We start from the raw sequence: 17,678 nt of genomic DNA on the forward strand, positions 1-17,678 counted from the left end.
GATTATTTCATCACCCAGTTACTAAACCAGTATCCAATAGTTATTTTTTCTGCTCCTTTCCCTCCTCTCACCTTCCACCCTTTTCCACTAGTAAGCCCCAGCATCTGTTGTTTCCCTCTTTGTGTCCATGTGTTCTCATCATTTAGCTCCCACTTATAATTGAGAACACGCAGTATTTGGTTTTCTATTCCTCATTTTATGTTTCTGATGTCAAAATTTACATCATTTTATAATTTGTGTCCCTTAAAAATTTATTTTAGCTATAGTTGTTTTTAATGGTTTTGTCTTAAAAGACAAAACCTTCATACTGAAAATAAAATTGCTCTATACACCATCATTGCAATATTAGAGTATTCTGAATATGGCTGAATATTAGAGTATTCTGAATATGACTCTGTACTACTTATGTCATTGAGTTTTGTGGTTTCATATGCTTTATATTATTAATTAGCAGCCTTTCCTATCAGATTAAAAAACTCCCTTCAGCAATTCCTATAAGACAGGTCTGCTGATGATAAACTCTCATAGCCTTTGTTTATCTGGGGAAGTTTTTATTTCTCCCTCATTTTTGAAGGACAGATTTGCTAGGCACAGTATTATTGGTTGACAGGTTGTTCTGTTTTCCCTTCAACACTTTGTATGTATCATCCCACTCTCTCCTACCCTGCAAGATTTCTGCTGAGAAGCCCATTGTATTGTTACTCACTTGTATGTAATAAGTTTTTAAAAATCTTTTGCTTCTCTTAGAATTTTTTCTTTGTCTTTGATTTTTGACAGTTTGATTATTATGTGTCTTGATGAATTTTTCTTTAGCTGAATTTGATTGGTGACCTCTGCACTTCTGGTACCTGGAGGCTGTCATGTTTCCCCAGATTTGGGAAGTTTTCAGGCATTATTTCTTTAAATATGCTTTCTGGCCCTTTTCCTCTCTCATTTCATTCTTTATTCCTATTATGTAAATGTTATTTCTCTGGATGGTGTCTCAGAATTTCCATAGGCTTTCTTTATTCCCTTTCATTTTTTTCCTTTTTCTCCTTTGATGTATAATTTCAAATGTTCTCTCTCCAAGCTCACCAATTCTTTCTTCTGCTTGATTGAGTCTGCTGCTGAAACTCTCTACTTATTTCTTTGGTTCAGTCACTGTATTCTTCATCCCTAGGATTTCTATTTGTTTAATGTTTCTATTTCTTTGTCAAATTTCTCAATTTGTTCACATATTGCTGTCAAAATTTCATGTAATTTCCTATCTATATATTCTTACAGTTTGCTGAACTTCCTTAAAAATGATTATTCTGAATTCTTTGTCAGTCATTTCATAGATCTTCATTAGTTCAGGGTCCATTATTGGAACTTTATTAATTTCTTTTGACAGTGGCATGATTCTCTGATTCTTTGTAATTCTGTGTCCTTGCACTGGTGTATGTGCGTTTGAGGAAACAGCCACCTCTTTTGGCCTTTATAGGTATTCTCTGGCAAGCATAGACTTTTGTTATTTAGTCTAGCCTGGAATTCTGGAAGGGCTAGCTGATAACAACCCAGGCAGGCAAAATTTATTGCCAAGTTCTCTAGTTGGCTGGGCTACTACGTTTGCTCTGAGGTGGAGTGGAGCTGGCTCTGCTGCCCAGCAAGACCACTGCCTTGGCCCTGCAAGCAGGCAGAGTTGCTTGCTGAGCTCTGTGATGACTTCTGATTGGGCACAGTCACAGGGTGTATTTCCTGGCTGGGTGGTGCCACTGTTGGAGTTCCATAGTTAGACAAGGGTATAGGCTGAGCTCAAAGATTAGGTGAAGTCACAGCTCCAGATAGATGGGTCCAGAGGCTATGCTCCATAGAAATGGATAGTGGCAGGTGTCTCCCCGCCTGGGAAGTACCTTGGGGTGAGGTTGAGCAGAGCTGCTGTTTGTACTAGCAGGTTAAACAGGACTAGCCCTTTTGCTCTGCAGAAATCCACGGTGCGTGGCATCTTTCTGCTTGGGCCAGGCTTTGGGGTGTCTGCCTATTTTAAATTATATTGTTTTTGTTGCTGTTGTTATTGTTGAATTTTAAGAGCTATTTTTATAGTCTGGCTATTAATTCCTTATCTCATATATGATTGACAAATGTATTCTCCTATTCTTTGGATTGTCTTTTTATTCTCTTAATAGCGTCCTATGATGCACAGAAGTTTTTAATTTCAATACAGTCCAATTCTTTTGTTACCTATACTTTCAGTATTATAGTCAAGAAATCATTGCCAAATCCAACATCACGGAACCATAAACTTTTTATTGAACAAAATGAATTTTGGAATTTCATCAATTACCAGCAAAAAACACCTTAAAATATTCATGAATGTCCAAATTCTACATTATAGTTAGACTGAAATTGAAGGAATGGGAAAAGACATACCATTCAAATATTAATTTTAAAAAGCAGAAGTGCTTTTTAAAGTACTTTTTAAAGCTAATGCTAGATAAAATAGACTTCAGAGCAAAAAAATTTATTAGAGACAAGGATGGACATTATAAATGGTAAAAAGATCAACCTACTAAAAAGATGTAACAATCTGAAATGTGTAAGCACCAAACCACAGAGCCTCCAAATATACAAAGGAAAACGTGTAGAACTGAAAGGAGAAATAGACAAATCTATAATTATAGTCGGAAATTTCAATACTCCCCTCTTAGCAACTAATAGAACTACTACACAGAAAATTGTTCAGGACATAGACAAACTCAACAAAATCATTAACCAACAGGAGCTAATTGACATAGGTGGGACACTTCACCCAACAACAGCAGAATATACATTTTTCTCAAGAGCCCATGGAACACAGACCATATCTTGGGTCATTAAAAAAAAATCAGCAAACTTAACTGAAGCATACAGAGTGTATTCTCTCGCCATAATAGAATAAAACTAGAAATCAGCAGAAGAAAGATAAGAGAAAAATCTCCAAACATTTGGAATGTAAACAACACACTTCTAAATAAATCAAGGGTCCAAGAGAAAGCCTCAGAAAAAATTTTAAATATAATAAAACTGAATGAAAGTTAAAACCCATGTCAAAATTTGTGAGACACAGTTAAAGCAGTGCCAAGAGGGAAATTTATAGCACTAGATGCATACATTAGAAAAGAAGAAAAGTCTCAAACCAGTAATGTAAATTCCTATTTCAAGAAGCTAGAAATGTACAGCAAAATAAATGCAAAGCAACAAGAGGAAGAAAAAAAATAAAGAGAGCAAAAATCAATTAAATTGAAAATAAGAATATAATAGAGAAAAATCAATGAAACCAAAAGCTGGTTCTTCAACAAAATCAATAAAATGGATAAATCCCTAGCAAGACTGACAAAAGTAAGGCCAGGTGTGGTGGCTTGTGCCTATAATCTCAGCACTTTGGGAGGCAGAGGCAGGAGGATCACTTGAGCCCAGGAGTTGAAGACAGTCTGGGCAAAATAGGGAGACCCTGTCTCTATGAAAATTAGCAAGGCATGGTGGTGCATTCCTGTAGTCCCAGCTACTTGGGAGGCTGAAGTGAGCCCAGGAAGTCAAGGCTGCAATGTGCTAAGATTATGCCACTGCATTCCAGCCTGGGCAACAGAGGGAGACCCTGTCTCAAAAAACAAAAACCAAAAACAACAACAACAACAACAAAACTGATGAAAATAAGGCACAAATAACCAGTATCAGGAATGAAACTGGTGTATCACCACAGGTCCTGCAGTCGTTATAAGGGAAATCTACAGCTTCATGTTCAACTCATTAGAATAAATACAAAAGCTTAGAAAATTGAACCAATTTCTTGAAAACCATAAATTACAAAAACTCAACCAAGATGTAACAGATAATCTGAACAATCCAATAACTATTACAGAAATTAAATTTGTAATTTATAACCTCATTAAAAAATGTCCAAGGTCAAATGATTTTATTAAAGGATTCTACCAAACATTTAAATAATCGATAGCAATTTTACACAATCTCTTCCACAATATACAAGAGGAGGGAACACTTCTCAGTTCATTTTATAAGGCCCTGATACTGAAACCAAACAGAGTAAAAAAGAAACTAGTAAAGTTCATGTCAATTTCTCTTATGAACTTCAATGCAAAAATCCTTAACAAAATTGAATCCAAGTGTGTATAAGAAGAATTCTATATCATAACCAAGTGGGATTTATTCCAGGTGGGCAAGGCTGGCTCAACATTTGAAAATCAATCAGTGATATCAATTCACCATATCATAGGATCATGTCATTTCATGCAGAAAAAGCATATGACAAAATCTTACACACATTTATTATAAAAACTCAAAGCAAGTTAGGAATAGATGAAATTACCTCAATTAGATTTTTTAAAAAATCTATAAAAACCCTGCAGCTAATATATTTAAAGGTGAAAGACTGATTGCTTTTCTGCTAAGATCAGGAATAAGGCAAATATATCTGCTCTCACCACTCATCCAACATGGTATTGAAAGTTCTAGCCACTTTGTGGTAGCGGGCGCCTGTAGTCCCAGCTACTTGGGAGGCTGAGGCAGGAGAATGGCGTGAACCTGGGAGGCGGAGCTTGCAGTGAGCCGAGATCGCGCCACTGCACTCCAGCCTGGGCGACAGAGCGAGACTCCGTCTCAAAAAAAAAAAAAAAAAAAAAAAAAAAAAAAAAAAAAAAAAGAAATAAGACAAGAAAAAAATAATGAAAGACATACAGATTGGAAAGGAAGAAATAAAACTGTCACTATTTGCAGATAACATGATTGTTTACTCAGAAAATTCCTAGAAGTGAGAAGCAAATTCAGCATGGTTGAAGTATACAAGATCAACACGAAAACAGACCCACACAAATATGCCTGCTGGAATTTTAAAAAATAAATCTGCAAAAGCAATTCAATGGAGGAAAAAGAACCTTTCCAACAAATGATGCTATAACAATTGGGTATCCACAGGCAAAAACTGTACCTCAACCTAAACTTCACATCTCAGAAACAAATTAACTGAAAATGGATCACAGATACAATGTAAAATGTAAAACTAAACTCACTTTTAAAATTAAAGAAAATCTTCCAGATTTAGGGCTGGGCGAAAGTTCTTACACTTGACACCAAAAGCAAGATCCATAAAATGAAAGATTGGTAAATTGAGTCTCCTCAAAATTGGAAAGTTTTCCTCTGCAAAAGCCCATGTGAAGAGAATGAAAAGACAAGCTAGAGACTGGAACAAAATATTTGCAAACCATGTATCTCACAAAGGACTTTTCCTAGAATATATAAAGAACTCTTCAAAATGCCACAGTAAAAAATAAAAACAAACCTCTAATTAGAATATGGGCAAAACATGGGAACAGACATTCCATGAGAAAAGAAATAAAGAAAAAGAAAAGGGTATACAGATGGCAAATCAGCACATAAAAAGATGCTCACTATCATTACCTTAGCCACCAGAAAAATGCAATTTAAAACCACAATGAGATATTACTTACCTATCCGAATGACTAAAATAAAAAAACAGTGACACCACCAAATGCTGCCAAGTGTGAAGAAAAAAATTGATCACACCTACATTGCTGCTGGGATTGTAAAATGGCACAGGCAATCTGGAAAAGAGTATGGTAGTTCTTACAAAACTAAACGTGTGCTTACCACATAACCCAGCAATTGCCCTCTTGAGCGTTTATCCCAGAGAAAACTTATGTTCCCACAGAAACCTGTACATGAATGTTCACAGCAGCTTTATTTGCAACGGCCAAAATCTGGAAACAACCCTGCAATAAGTCCTTCAATGAGAGAATGGTTAAATAATCTACCGTCGTGGTACCTCCATCCCATGAATACTACCCACTAATAAAAAAGAATCATCTATTGATAATACATAATAATTGGATACATTTCAGGGGAATTATGCTGAGTCAATAAAGACAATCCGAAAATACTACATTATTGTATAATTTCATCTGTACAACATTCTTGAAACGACAAAATTGGAAAAAATTGAAAGTAGATTAGTAGTAGTCAGGGATCGCCACTCACCCTCCAGGTAGGTGTGGTTATAAAAGGCAAAAAGAGGGATCCTGTGATAAGTTCGGTTCTGCATCTTGACTGTGGTGGTAGTTGAATTTACACATGTGATAAAATTGTATAGAATTATTTACACACACACAGAGGTTGAAGGAGAGAGAAATGAGTACAAGTAAAACGGGAAATCTCAGTAAGATGGGTGGGGTTATACCAGTGCTAGTATCCTGGTTGTGATATTGCACCATAGTTTTGGGAATTTTTACCACTGGGGGAAACTGGGTAAAGGGTGGGTGCACAGGATCTCTCTGTATTATTATTATTTTTTACAACTGCACGTGAATCTATGATTATCTCGAAACATTTAAATATGTATTTTTTAATGTGTGAATACTACTGGGCTATATATTTTTAAAAAATAAAGTACAATCGTCTTAAGAACGCAAAGGCCAAGGGGCAGAAGGCTATTTCTTAAATTTTAAGAAACCACCTAGTTCACAGGTGCCACCTCCTCACTTTGCTGTCAGCGACGTGATGTGCTCTGCAGTGCTGGAATTGAGAGTTCAAGAGAGAGATACCGGTCCTGGCCTCTCGGTGTTCAGGTGTGTGTATAGGTGGGCGTTGGTGTGAGAACGAGCGAGAGAAAGCGGGAGCAAGAGCGAGAGCTATGCCTCCCTTAGTGTCAGGGAGGGTGGCCGGCTGATGAAGGTGCTGTGCAGAAAGCCGGGGAAGGGCTTAAAGAGGGTGCTGGCGCCTCGGGAACGCCCTCCCGCTGCACCCTACAGGAGGTCGTGGGCGGTGGCTTAACAGCCCCAGTGCAGAGCTTGAACCCCACCGTCCAGAAGGAAAGGTGAGTGGGGGACCCGGGCGGGAGGTGAGGCCTGCCGGCAGCGGCCCTCAGGCGTGCTGGGCAGCACGGCTAGCAGAGGCGGCGCCTGGTCTTGGATGCTGCAGCGGAGACGCCAAGGAGACTGAATGCAGGGAGCGAGGCGTAGCGGCCGCGGAGGGTGGGGCCGCCCGGAAATCCAGGCGGCGCCAGCCTTGTAGCATCTGCAGGCCGGGGGCGCGCACACGAGGGGCACGTGGGTGTGGAGGAACCGGCGCGGCGGGGCCTCCTTCCTGCAGCGCCGCGGCGGTCGAGTGCCCGTGCTGGAGGAACGGCGAGTGGGGTGCCTGCCCCGCGCAGGCGGTACCCGCCGCCCCAGCTCCGCACACAGCAGGCACGGCCAGGGACCGGGACCGTGGCCCAGCGCCTGGAGGCGCTCTCCACGCGCATCTTTCCCGATGCCGGGGCGGGAAGCCGAGTGGCTTTGTCCGGAGATGCCAGGGGATGTGGGCAGGGGACGAAGAGGTTTCCCAACTGGCCAAACCCTGGCTTGAGGAAAGACTGAGGTGGTCATTGACCCGTGGGAGCGCCCTGGGGCTTCGAGGGAACGGCAGCCGAGCCCGGGAGACTGGTGTTGGGTACCCGCGGGGGCCGGCGGGTTCCACGTGGGTGGACCCCGAGCTGAGGGCAGGGTAGGGTCGCGGATCGCTGACCTATGAGCTCCCCTACTCCCGCACAAGGACACCTGCACATGGACCCGGGCTTCCACCCGCTTCTGGCTGGGTTGGCGCCGGGAGCGCGCAGGGGAGGGACGGCGGCGGAGTGCGGGGTTTGGCGGGTGAGGTGGGTGAGGTGTGGCCGCGGGGGAGGGGGCGAAGGCACTAGAAGGCTGCGGTCGCGCTGTCGCTGCTGTTCCCACCGTCGGCGCGGGGCGCGGAGGGGGCGAAGAGGTGCCTGCCAGTCGCACTGCGGTCTAGGGGTGAAAGGAAAAGGGTCCATGTAAAGGAGAAAGGGCAGGCAGAGACTCTTGCTGGTGCCAGCAGGCACGGAAGGATGTGGCCGCGGGGACTTGGAGTTTAGAGGGCAACGCTGGGTGTCATAATGCCGGAGATGACCCCGGGTGCAGAGGCGATTCCAGTTGGGTAGAGCTACAGAGAACGTGGCCCGAGAAGGGGAGCTTCCTTAAATTAGACATATCCTGTGTTGTCCTAAACCTAGCATTTACCCTCTCCCACCCCGCTCCCACAACCTCCAGGGTCCTAGCGGAGTCATTTAAGCGCTCAGTACTACCAGCTTCATTTTAGGTAAAAATCAAGACTAATTCTGCACTTTATTAACCTCCTCGTACCCAAGTCACCACGGGGCAGCTTTTCACAGCCCTAAGGCGTGGTCACTTCAAGCCCACAGCGAGTTGCTCGTGTCCTCGGCTTCTGCTCCGCAAATCTCGGACGATGCCACCGGAGGACGCTGAAGGCAAAGGCTGGTGGGGCCAGGCGCCGGCGAGACTGCCGCGCTAGCACAGCTTCCGCGGGAGCCGAGTGCTGACGGGCCTCGCGACCCCCTCCCGAGGGCAAACGGCTCGGCCCTCCAGGGACACTTGGTCAGTGTCACTCTCTCCCTACCGGGTGTCGCGCATTTTCTCAACAGAACGTGACCCCGTAGACGGATGAACTCGGAATCGGCAAAACCCGCCTGCCCTTGTCTAGTCTCTCTGCCCCACCACACCACTGCCCTTCACTGCGGACTGCGCCGTGTGCGCTCCGGGACCGCCCCTGCACCTTTGCCCACAGCTTCCCATTACCAAGGCAGCCGGAGGAAGACCTTTCCGAGTTACCTGTCTCACGTCAGCAGCCACACCGAGGCGGTCCCCCTCGCACCACTCCCCAAGTGCAGAGCCCCTGAAAGTCCGAGGCTCCTGTGCCACGCACCCTCCCCCCTGCGGGGCGACCCCGCGTATGCGTGTGTGTGTCACGCGTTTAATCGCACAGAGTAATTCCCAGACGTGCAAGACAAAGCATTTCAAGCAAAGATGGTCCAGAGTTCAAATTGGAAAGCACATCTCGAGGCGCTGAATCTGTTCTCGCCGTCTGCCTCGGTCTCTGGGGCGTCGCATCCAGGAGAAGGGTTTTAACTCCCTGCCAGATCCGCTCGGAATTAGCTCTTCTGGCGGTGCAGCAACAAGTGGCCCCGCCGCCTCCCTTGTGCACTCGGAGGGACTACATCCTCCTCCTCTCCCAGCCCCTAGTCCAAACGGGAGTAGGTAATGGCGGGGAAAGGGGGAGGTGACGAGAGCGGGGAGAAGGAAGTACATATTTTTTAATTGTGAAATTGTCTGTCTGCGTGCTGTGCTCTGGGATTCTCTTGTCTCAATCAACTTCAATTTTAACGTGGCCGTAACGTTAAGATTAAGACCTAGAAATGAAAACGTACCCACCTTTCTTATTACAAAGGTCGTTTGTTGTTGTTGTTTTTTTAAAACACCAAGTAACCCCCCCCCCCCCCCCCCACGGACTTATACTTTGTTTATGAGATTTCTCCAACCTTGGTGGTTTGGAGAAATGAGGTGGGGGAGGGGAGGACCAAGGGCAGCAAGACGTCCACTACGAAAATAAGATACTTACTAATTTAATAGGGCCGTTCCTTTTTACATAAGATGCTCCCCCACCCCCCACCAATTTACAATAGGTAAACTTTGAGCTTCCTCAAAGTTTCGCTATCTAGCGTTTATGCCCGAAGCTTTACGAATAAACTCCCTTTCCAGGTAAACCTGCCCAACCCTTGTCCTATGCCCAGCGAAGCCCAGGTACGATGGGTCAAGGACCCCTGGCTTCCACATTGTCTGAGTCACGTTCCAGTTGGAAAGGCCATCTTGGGCGAGGGACGTGTTGCCCGACTGGTCTAAATAAGGAAAGAAAGTGGAGTACCAAAGAATCAAGGGCCTCTGTTCCTCCCCATCCCGCCACCACCACCACCGGTCCCCGGGCTCTGCTGAGCGCTGCGGCGGTCTTGGCTGAAAACTGCGTCCCCGCCCAAATCGAGCGCAAAACTCCCTTGGACAGAAGTTTGAAAGAATCCAGTGTAGAAACAGACTTCTCCGTCCAATTTGGTTTTAATCAGTAATCATATAAGTATACCCACATAACCACCTAAGTGGAGAGCAGACGCCCAGATTCACGGTCCCCACGTGTTGCTGGAGTTGGCGCAGACGCGTGTGCGGGCATAGCGGCGGACGTGACACCGCATTTTCTCCGAATTCCTGCCATCTAGGGTGGTGCCGCCCCAAGAGGGGGCCGTGGGGAGGTGGGGTAATAGGCTGCGCAATCCACTTGCTCTGGGGGAGCTTAGGGTTCAGAGCAGAGCGCAACTCCGGGGGGCTGTCGCACAGCCCCATTCTCCCACACCAGAAGAGCAATGCTCCTTATGGATGATTAATAGCCGGGCTTCTCCTGACCATGCGGCGCGTCCCTGCCGGCACCACTTAGTTGTTTTAATTTGACCTTTATTAGCAACGTGCTCCCAGAGGCTGCGAGTTGGATTCGCACCACGATAACGGCCCTCTCCCCTTCCACCCGGCCGGCTTCCTGGGAAGGATCGGGGACTGCAGCTCCCGCGACGCCTCCTCCTCCTGCGCAGGGAGCAGGCCTGAGTTCCTCCACGTAATGACCTGGGAGACCTCAGGCATCCCGGGGCCTGGTCGGAGGGTCTTCGGGCCCTGGAGCTGGGCGGTGTCTGCAGTGCACCGCCGTGAGTTTCTCTCGGGTACAATGTGCTGGTGTGCAGAGAGGAGGAAAGGAAAAAAAAAAAACCCAACACCACTCTTAAGTGGCACTGGCATCTATGAAGTGGCAGTGGTCTACACTGAGCGTGCCCTTGCCTGGAGGTGTAGGGGGCGGTTACTGCAGCCGAGGGGAGGGTACTGCGGCCAAGGGCAGGGCGAGAGGACAGTCAAGGCCGGCTGGCCGCGTGGGAGCCTTTCCTCTCCGGGTTCAGCGGCCGGAATCACCAGCACTGCGGCTAAAGGGGCTGGTAGGCTCTCCTGCACCCCGCGTGCTCCTCCGCCTTCTCTGTGTCCCCCGGCTTTTCCAGGAGGAAGATGGGGTGCCCATCGCGAATGGGGCGCGCCGGGCCGCCTGGCCGGGCGGTCACGTGTCCCCCCTCCCCCGCCACTGCGGCGGGAGTTCCAATCAGAGCGCGCCAGGGGGCTCCTCCCGGGCAGGAACCACCCGGCTCGGCGGCGGAGGGTGGGCCGCCGTCACCTGACCGCCCGCCCCCGCCCCCCGCGAGTAAGGGGCGGTGGTAGCGTCTGCTCGGTTACAAATGGCCCCTCCCGCCCGGCTCGCCCGCTCGCTCGGGCTCGGCGCGGACCCGCCTGGGCGTGCTCCTCCCGCCGGCTCCAGGCGTCCCACCGCCCTGCCCGGCGCCAGCCCGCGGTCCCAGCCACTCCTGAGGGCGCGCCGGGCACCCAGCGCGTAGGCTCGCCCACGGAGGTCGACACGGAAGTCTGGACCGCCGAGGCGTGTGGCTCGTCTACCGGCAGGTGAGCGTGCACCGCGGGCGTGGGATGCTGTGGGGACAGTGCGGGGGACGTGTGGGGTCTTCGGATGCGAACGCGAGTCCGTGCGATGCCCAGGTCAAGTTTGCAGAGAGAGTCTGCGGTGTCTGTCTCCTTGGCCTCCTCTTGATGCTCCTGCGGGTTGGGGGCTCGGACCAAAGCTTCTATTTGGGGGAAGGGCTTCAGGACATTCTTGCCTTGAGATACTTGACAAAGGTTGAAAAGACACATCAGGTGGGAGCTTGTAGCTGCTGCTGATGGGGTGAGACAGGTGCAGTCGAGTGTGCACGCATATGTGTGTGGCTCCTGGGTAAGGGTCAGCTCGAGATGGGGAGAAGCCTCTGCGACGGGTCATTCTGTCCCCAAGAGCCACTTAGATTCCGGAGAGTGAAATTGAGCCGCTCTGAGGTGGTCACTAGATGTTATGGCAGCAAACCAGTGACCCCCAGTATTTCTGATATGACCCTGTAGTAGAAGGAGTGCAGATGGTTCAGTACAGAGTGTGTGAGGTTTTAAGGCACCCAGAAAAGATTCCTTTTACCTTATAACTTCTTGACAGAAATTAGTATTAAAAGTGCTGAATCATGCAAAAAGATTAGGAAAATAATTTACTTAATGTTTTGGTAAAGTTTTCCAAAGCTAATAATATCTGCATTTTTGGATCAATGCTTTAAATTTAAGATGTAGGCACTAGGTATTTAAAATCATATTTTAAGACTGTGCCCTTGGCTTTATGACTATCAGTTGCTTTTCTTTCTTTATGATTAGTTGTATCCATTCATTACTTCTTACCACTTTCACTACCCTCAAAACAAACAAAACCCCGGAAAAAAACCCAAGACATGGGATTTTTATTTTTATTTTATTTATTTATTTATTTCTGATGTGTTCATGATTGTAAAGGGAGTGGAGGTATCAGTCCTGGGAAATAAAAAAATCCTCCTCTGATGAATGCAGTGATGGCCAATTTGATCAATTTGATTTGTCATATGCCACTGAAGGGAATGTCAAGCTGATAACATGCAGACTGGAGAGAAAATGAAACAGGAGTTGCCCATTGAGGAAGACATAAGCCCTTATCCGATTGCACTCAGTGAAGGAGCTGGAGGGTAGTCCTTCCACATTGGAACCTGAGTCCTTGGTGGAGGTGCAGTTTTTGATGCAAGTTCTGAGGTCAGACACCATGTAACATAAAGATGAATTTAAAAAAAAATCAGAGTCAGGATTAGTAAAATGGGTGTGTCCAGCGACAGCCTTTGCCCATTTACTCTTGGCTGCACTGTCTGAAATGCTCAGTGGCCTGCTGACTCATAAGGGAACAAGCATGGCTTAGCAAGATTGGATTTTACTTGTAGACTCTAAAGAACTGTACTTGTTAAAAAAAAAAAAAGATTTTTGAAAAAGCATCATCGGAGACATCCATAATAGAGAAGCTAGTCTCTCTTTCTCACATCTCTTCTTCCAGGAGGTTTCTCCCTGATTCCTTGACTTGTCACCTTTATTTCAATACCTGTCATCCATGCTTGTGCAAAACACATCTGATTTGACACAAAGGTTTTAATCTGAATCTTAACATGAGAAACGGTGGGACTCTTAGCAACATGATTATTTCAAAGGTATTTTTGAAGGATACTGAAAAACTGGAATATGAACGATTAATTGAATTTTCTTTACAGCACAGACTCCCTTAACATTGCATGCAAGACCAGGGAGCCCCACCCTGTTTCTGAGCATCTGCATGAAAGACCAGGAAAGGAATTCGACAATTGCAGTGGTGCAGGGAGAGGCAGCTTCTAGGCTTGGGCATTACCTTTATTTAAATAATTACTAACAAATTTGGAGGGTAGGCTTTAATCCATAGGCAGGTCTTAAAAAGCACAGTGTTATTTCTTTTCACCTGTCAGCTTGTTAAAATGTCCATTTAACTTTGAGAGGTTGATTTTGTTAGAAAAGGGATACAGATCGAGAGCTTCCAAATTTTAAGATCCTAGGGCTAAAAGCCATAATTGATTGGAAGGACACATATTAAAGCATACAGTGAAGCCAAAAAGAGTTATTTTTGCTTCGATATTCTTAATAAAATTTTTTTTATAAAACTAAGTTTTTTAGAAAGAGGGGGGCTCCTTTTTAGGCAGTGAATGGAATAAATCAGCTTGTGCGATAGACCAGCACCTGGCATCTCAGTTTGAACAGAGATGCATAATTGGAGCAAGAAACAGATGAATGAGCTTACCTTTTACTGCTTGGTCCTTCAAACAGAACCCAGTCATTTCACATCAGATTAGAGGAAGGCCATTTCTACAACAAGACAAGGAGATTTCAAATCTTGTTTCAAATCTATGGGAAAGAAAATGTTTTGAGCTGCTCTGAAGAAAGAGGCATTATAAATTTACAGTTCATTATTATAGTTAGGTTTATCCGCATCGTCTACTGCAGATAGCGGGTCTGACCAAGAAGAAAAGAGATACAAAGACTTTTTTTCTTTCCTTTTTTTAAGACAAAATTTTCAAAAGGATCCCTACTTGGTTACCTTCCATTTTTTAAGGTAAATATATCATTTACGGAAGAGAAAATGATACGTTTTCCCTTGATGGCTAGAGTGAATTAATGCATTTTCAGACCTGAATGTCGTGACCAGTTAGCAGTATCTCAACAGTTCTTCCAGTCTAACGTGATACTCTAGGTGAAAATTGCAGGTTCTGTTCTGAACTCATAATCTTAAGCTGCTGAAACTACCTTCTGCTTTTTTCCTGTGTTTTTTTTTTTTCTTATATTATCTTTCCCCTCTTTTAAATCCACAAACTATACCTACAAATCCTAGCACCTAGAAGGCTTTGAGAGTCACCAGGAACACACAATCAGGTAAATTGTCTGTGATTGCGGGTCATTCTAAAATCAAAATAGATTTCAGCGGCGGCTTCAAGAATCAAATTGGTCAGACGTCTCTGGTGCTTTGCTCAGATGCCGGCGCCCTAGCAGCCTGCTTTCAAAGAGGGTCTTTTCCTAAGATATGCAGTGATTATTTTATGGAAATTAGCTCTACCCACTTGCACAGTTAATTGCAGTATGAGAAGGTTCCAGAACAGTACCTCCTTGAGTTCGACAGTAAATATGCACACATCATTGTATGACGAGCATTCCAGAACACCCACCTCCCAGCAAAGTAAATTTGCTGGCTGAATAAACACCTGGGCTGCTTTAGCCCACAAATGGCAACAAGTCTCATGTTTTACCACAAATGTACACTAAGCCTTTTTAGGACACTGCAGAGCCTTGTAGCATGGAAAGGGGCATCTGATGTCTGAATTCCTGTAGAGTTGGCCTCCAAGAATCTCTCTTTTTCCACTTGAGGATATCAGGTTATGAGTTTTTTTTTTTGAAGAATTTGAAGAAAATTGTTTGCTCATCCACTTATTACAGGGAATTGTAGTTAGTAATATCTTTGGCGTTAAGTATTTAAAAATTAATGATATTTTTGGGTGTGTGAGGGTTGGATTGAGGCAATAGAGAGTATCCTTTAGAAAAACCATTTGGAAATTGCTGCTCCTTTAAAATTATGTGACATTAAACACTTGTACATGCATCTCTGCAAAATTCAAGAAATGTGCTTTGGTGTGCGCATTGTGCCACATACACATGCATCCTACACAAACTGGAATTGCTATTTAGGACTGTTAAACTCTTCATTTTGAGAAGACTTAACTTGGGTAGTGGGGAGGGTTTTTATTTGTTTCTTTCCTGGTAGAAGTGGGCTCTGAATCTGTTGTGCTTAGGATCTTACTTAGTAGGTAGGACCATCAAGAAAAGACAGTGAATGAATAGTTCTTAAAAGTAGATAAAGTACATTTTTTTTTTTTTTTTTTTTTTTTTTTTTGCAGTGTGTCATCGTTTAGGTTGCTAATTTAAAAGTATTTCAGCTCTGGATTTTAGAACTAAAAATATCATGAGAAATAGTTTTCGTTCAGATGTAGCTCAAGATGCATCTCTCCCTTGTTCAAATTACTATGTATCCTCCTTGCTTCTCATGGAATTTGGAAACTATCCCAACTGCTAATGATCTAAACATTTTGGTCTTACAGGTGTTCTTTTGATCACAATGGATAGTGACTCTTCTCTTCTGCCTGAGAGTGGTTCAAAATGTAAGTTCAGTAAACTAAATAATTAAATATTAATAATTCTGAACATCTGTGCAGAGCAGTTCTTCCTATTTTTCATTCCTTCTGCCTAAGGACTCTAGCTTCATAAATAAGAATCTAGAAGGAAGTGCTATACCCTTGAGTAGGGGGTGGGGGGAGCCTAACCTAGATGAACGTTTATTCACTACCCAGCAGCATAACTTTATATGACTGCAATCACAGCCATTGATTCCTGTGCACCCCCACTGCCCCCATGTTATTTTCATGGTAATAGAATACGAACCTTTGGTGCTTGGGTAATGCTGAATTGACACTTCCCCAGATGTCATACGTTTCTGTGTGGCCCTGCCTGTTCTAATCTTCTCTTGGTTCAAGCAGATGGCTTCTGATATGTAGAAACATCCAGGCCCAGAAACAGAGGTTTTTGTTTTGTTTTGTTTTGTTTTGTTTTTGGGGTGGGGGGTGGCCCGATGAAATCCTATGGCTACTGTCAAGCTACCTTTCTTACCGAATGTACGTTAATCAAAATGCTATAACCCAGCTGATGACGTTTAGGCTGTTAGGATCTGGTACACGTAAATTATAAAATGGAAAGTGTTAAAGTGTACGGGAAGCCATTGCTGTTTCACACAGAGTTTGAATGGTTAGGGATTTTACAGATTTCCCAGGGCTGGATCCACCTTTTCCATTTGAAGGATATCAAGTACTTCCAAGTATGGCTGTTTAAAGAGTGAACTCTCAGTCTCTGAAAGGAACCTAGTGCTGATTTGGACCCCTCCCTACCTCTTTAGAAATCTCAACATGTGATTTGAGATATTTTTGAGAACTTCTTAGGCATTCGATGCATTTCATCAGTGGTCAGGCTATAGAAAGCTGATTTTTATTAGGAAAAATATCTCTTCTACCTTCTCTTATCCCTTGTTTTTCTGCCTTCCTGTCTGTGCTCCCTTTCCCAAAACATAGATTTTCATGTAATTCAGTTCACTAAATATCACTTCCATTTTTGCTTCTCTGCAGAGTTTATTGCTAGAGCTGCTGATAGACTTTTGGCGCAGATAGTATATTGATCACTTGAAATCTCATTTGAGCTTGACTGAATATACATAATGGGGTGTCAATCGGGGAAAAATCTCATAATAAATGGCAGGTGACTTATATTCATGAGAAAAAAAAAGTCTTGGGCCGCACACAAAATACCATGTTTACTGTAGCATGACAGACTGATTTTGCTCGTCTCCATCATATTCATCTGGTGGGTGTTTAATAGCAAAGGCAAGGTTAGAATACCAAGATCCTGGAAACTTTCTTTGTTTATGTGGGAAGCATTTTTGTACACTCTATACAGTATAAGCATCTTCTAGAACTACAGCCAGCAAGAAAGAGCTTTTCTACCTGAGAAATTCAGAAATTGCAAACAAATCTGTTTAAGTTGGTGTGTATTTAAAATCAGCTACTGATTTATGCAGTCCATATTTTTTAAATTTTTACCATGTGTGTATCAGTGCATACACTCACTGTATGCAAATATCATTTTCAGTGTGTATATGGGAGAGCACAGTATATTTAGAGAAAAGTCTGCTTTACATAAATTATTTTTAAGAACAACTGAGCAGAGGAGTAGCCATGCGTTAGGAAAGCCAAATCTTTTTTTCTTTTTTTAAGTTTCCCATTGAATGATAAGGAATTTCTCTTTTAAAGTTTTATATGTAATTCTTTAAAATCAATTTTCCTGATACAGCAGTCATTATGACGGTAGATATGTCTGGGAAAGTGATATTTTGGGTTACTTTATACAGCTGACTTGATAGCCGACTTCGTTGTGGCTGATTGTTTGGAAACATGGGGGTATCTATCATATTAGCTGTAACCCTGCTTCATGCCAGGACAGTGTGGGGTACATCACGTTTTTCCCAGTCTGCTAAGTGGGGTGCAACTCAACTTCCATCAGGAATTCTTCATCTCCTGTAAATGAATGAAATCAACTGGCTCTTTGCTAACAGGGTTCTAATTTTCTTTTTTTTTATAGTCAAAAAAATTAATAATAATGGTACCCTGGACAAACATCTCCTTCAGTCCTTGTACAATATCTCAAGATTTTAAAAACTGTTTTATGTCAGAGTTTTCACTTTTTTAGCCTCAGGTCAAATATGATAGCCAGAGGAATCTGCTTACT

The 17,678-nt window shown here is 44.1% G+C and overlaps 1 long non-coding RNA gene across 4 annotated transcripts in view, besides 4 other annotated features; it reads left to right on the forward strand.

Annotated features, from left to right (window-relative positions):
- Positions 7,053-7,252: a silencer, noted in NCBI's record as "silent region_14260". NCBI's record gives its function as "represses an Ori minimal core promoter by ATAC-STARR-seq in GM12878 lymphoblastoid cells {active_cell/tissue: GM12878}" and the evidence as "EXISTENCE:reporter gene assay evidence [ECO:0000049][PMID:35858748]".
- Positions 8,383-8,492: an enhancer, noted in NCBI's record as "active region_19754". NCBI's record gives its function as "activates an Ori minimal core promoter by ATAC-STARR-seq in GM12878 lymphoblastoid cells {active_cell/tissue: GM12878}" and the evidence as "EXISTENCE:reporter gene assay evidence [ECO:0000049][PMID:35858748]".
- Positions 10,366-10,425: an enhancer, noted in NCBI's record as "active region_19755". NCBI's record gives its function as "activates an Ori minimal core promoter by ATAC-STARR-seq in GM12878 lymphoblastoid cells {active_cell/tissue: GM12878}" and the evidence as "EXISTENCE:reporter gene assay evidence [ECO:0000049][PMID:35858748]".
- Positions 10,886-11,415: a silencer, noted in NCBI's record as "silent region_14261". NCBI's record gives its function as "represses an Ori minimal core promoter by ATAC-STARR-seq in GM12878 lymphoblastoid cells {active_cell/tissue: GM12878}" and the evidence as "EXISTENCE:reporter gene assay evidence [ECO:0000049][PMID:35858748]".
- The window catches only part of LOC124909489 (uncharacterized), a 123,033-nt gene continuing 116,513 nt past the window's right edge, over positions 11,159-17,678 (forward strand). For all 4 annotated transcript variants that reach the window (XR_007096254.1, XR_007096255.1, XR_007096253.1 and 1 more), the window contains exons 1-2: positions 11,159-11,354; positions 15,449-15,508. This is a non-coding gene — a long non-coding RNA (uncharacterized LOC124909489). The remainder of the gene's footprint in view (positions 11,355-15,448; positions 15,509-17,678) is intronic.

The sequence above is a fragment of the Homo sapiens genome, chromosome 3, assembly GCF_000001405.40.
Source record: "Homo sapiens chromosome 3, GRCh38.p14 Primary Assembly".
Classification (NCBI taxonomy): Eukaryota; Metazoa; Chordata; class Mammalia; order Primates; family Hominidae; genus Homo; species Homo sapiens.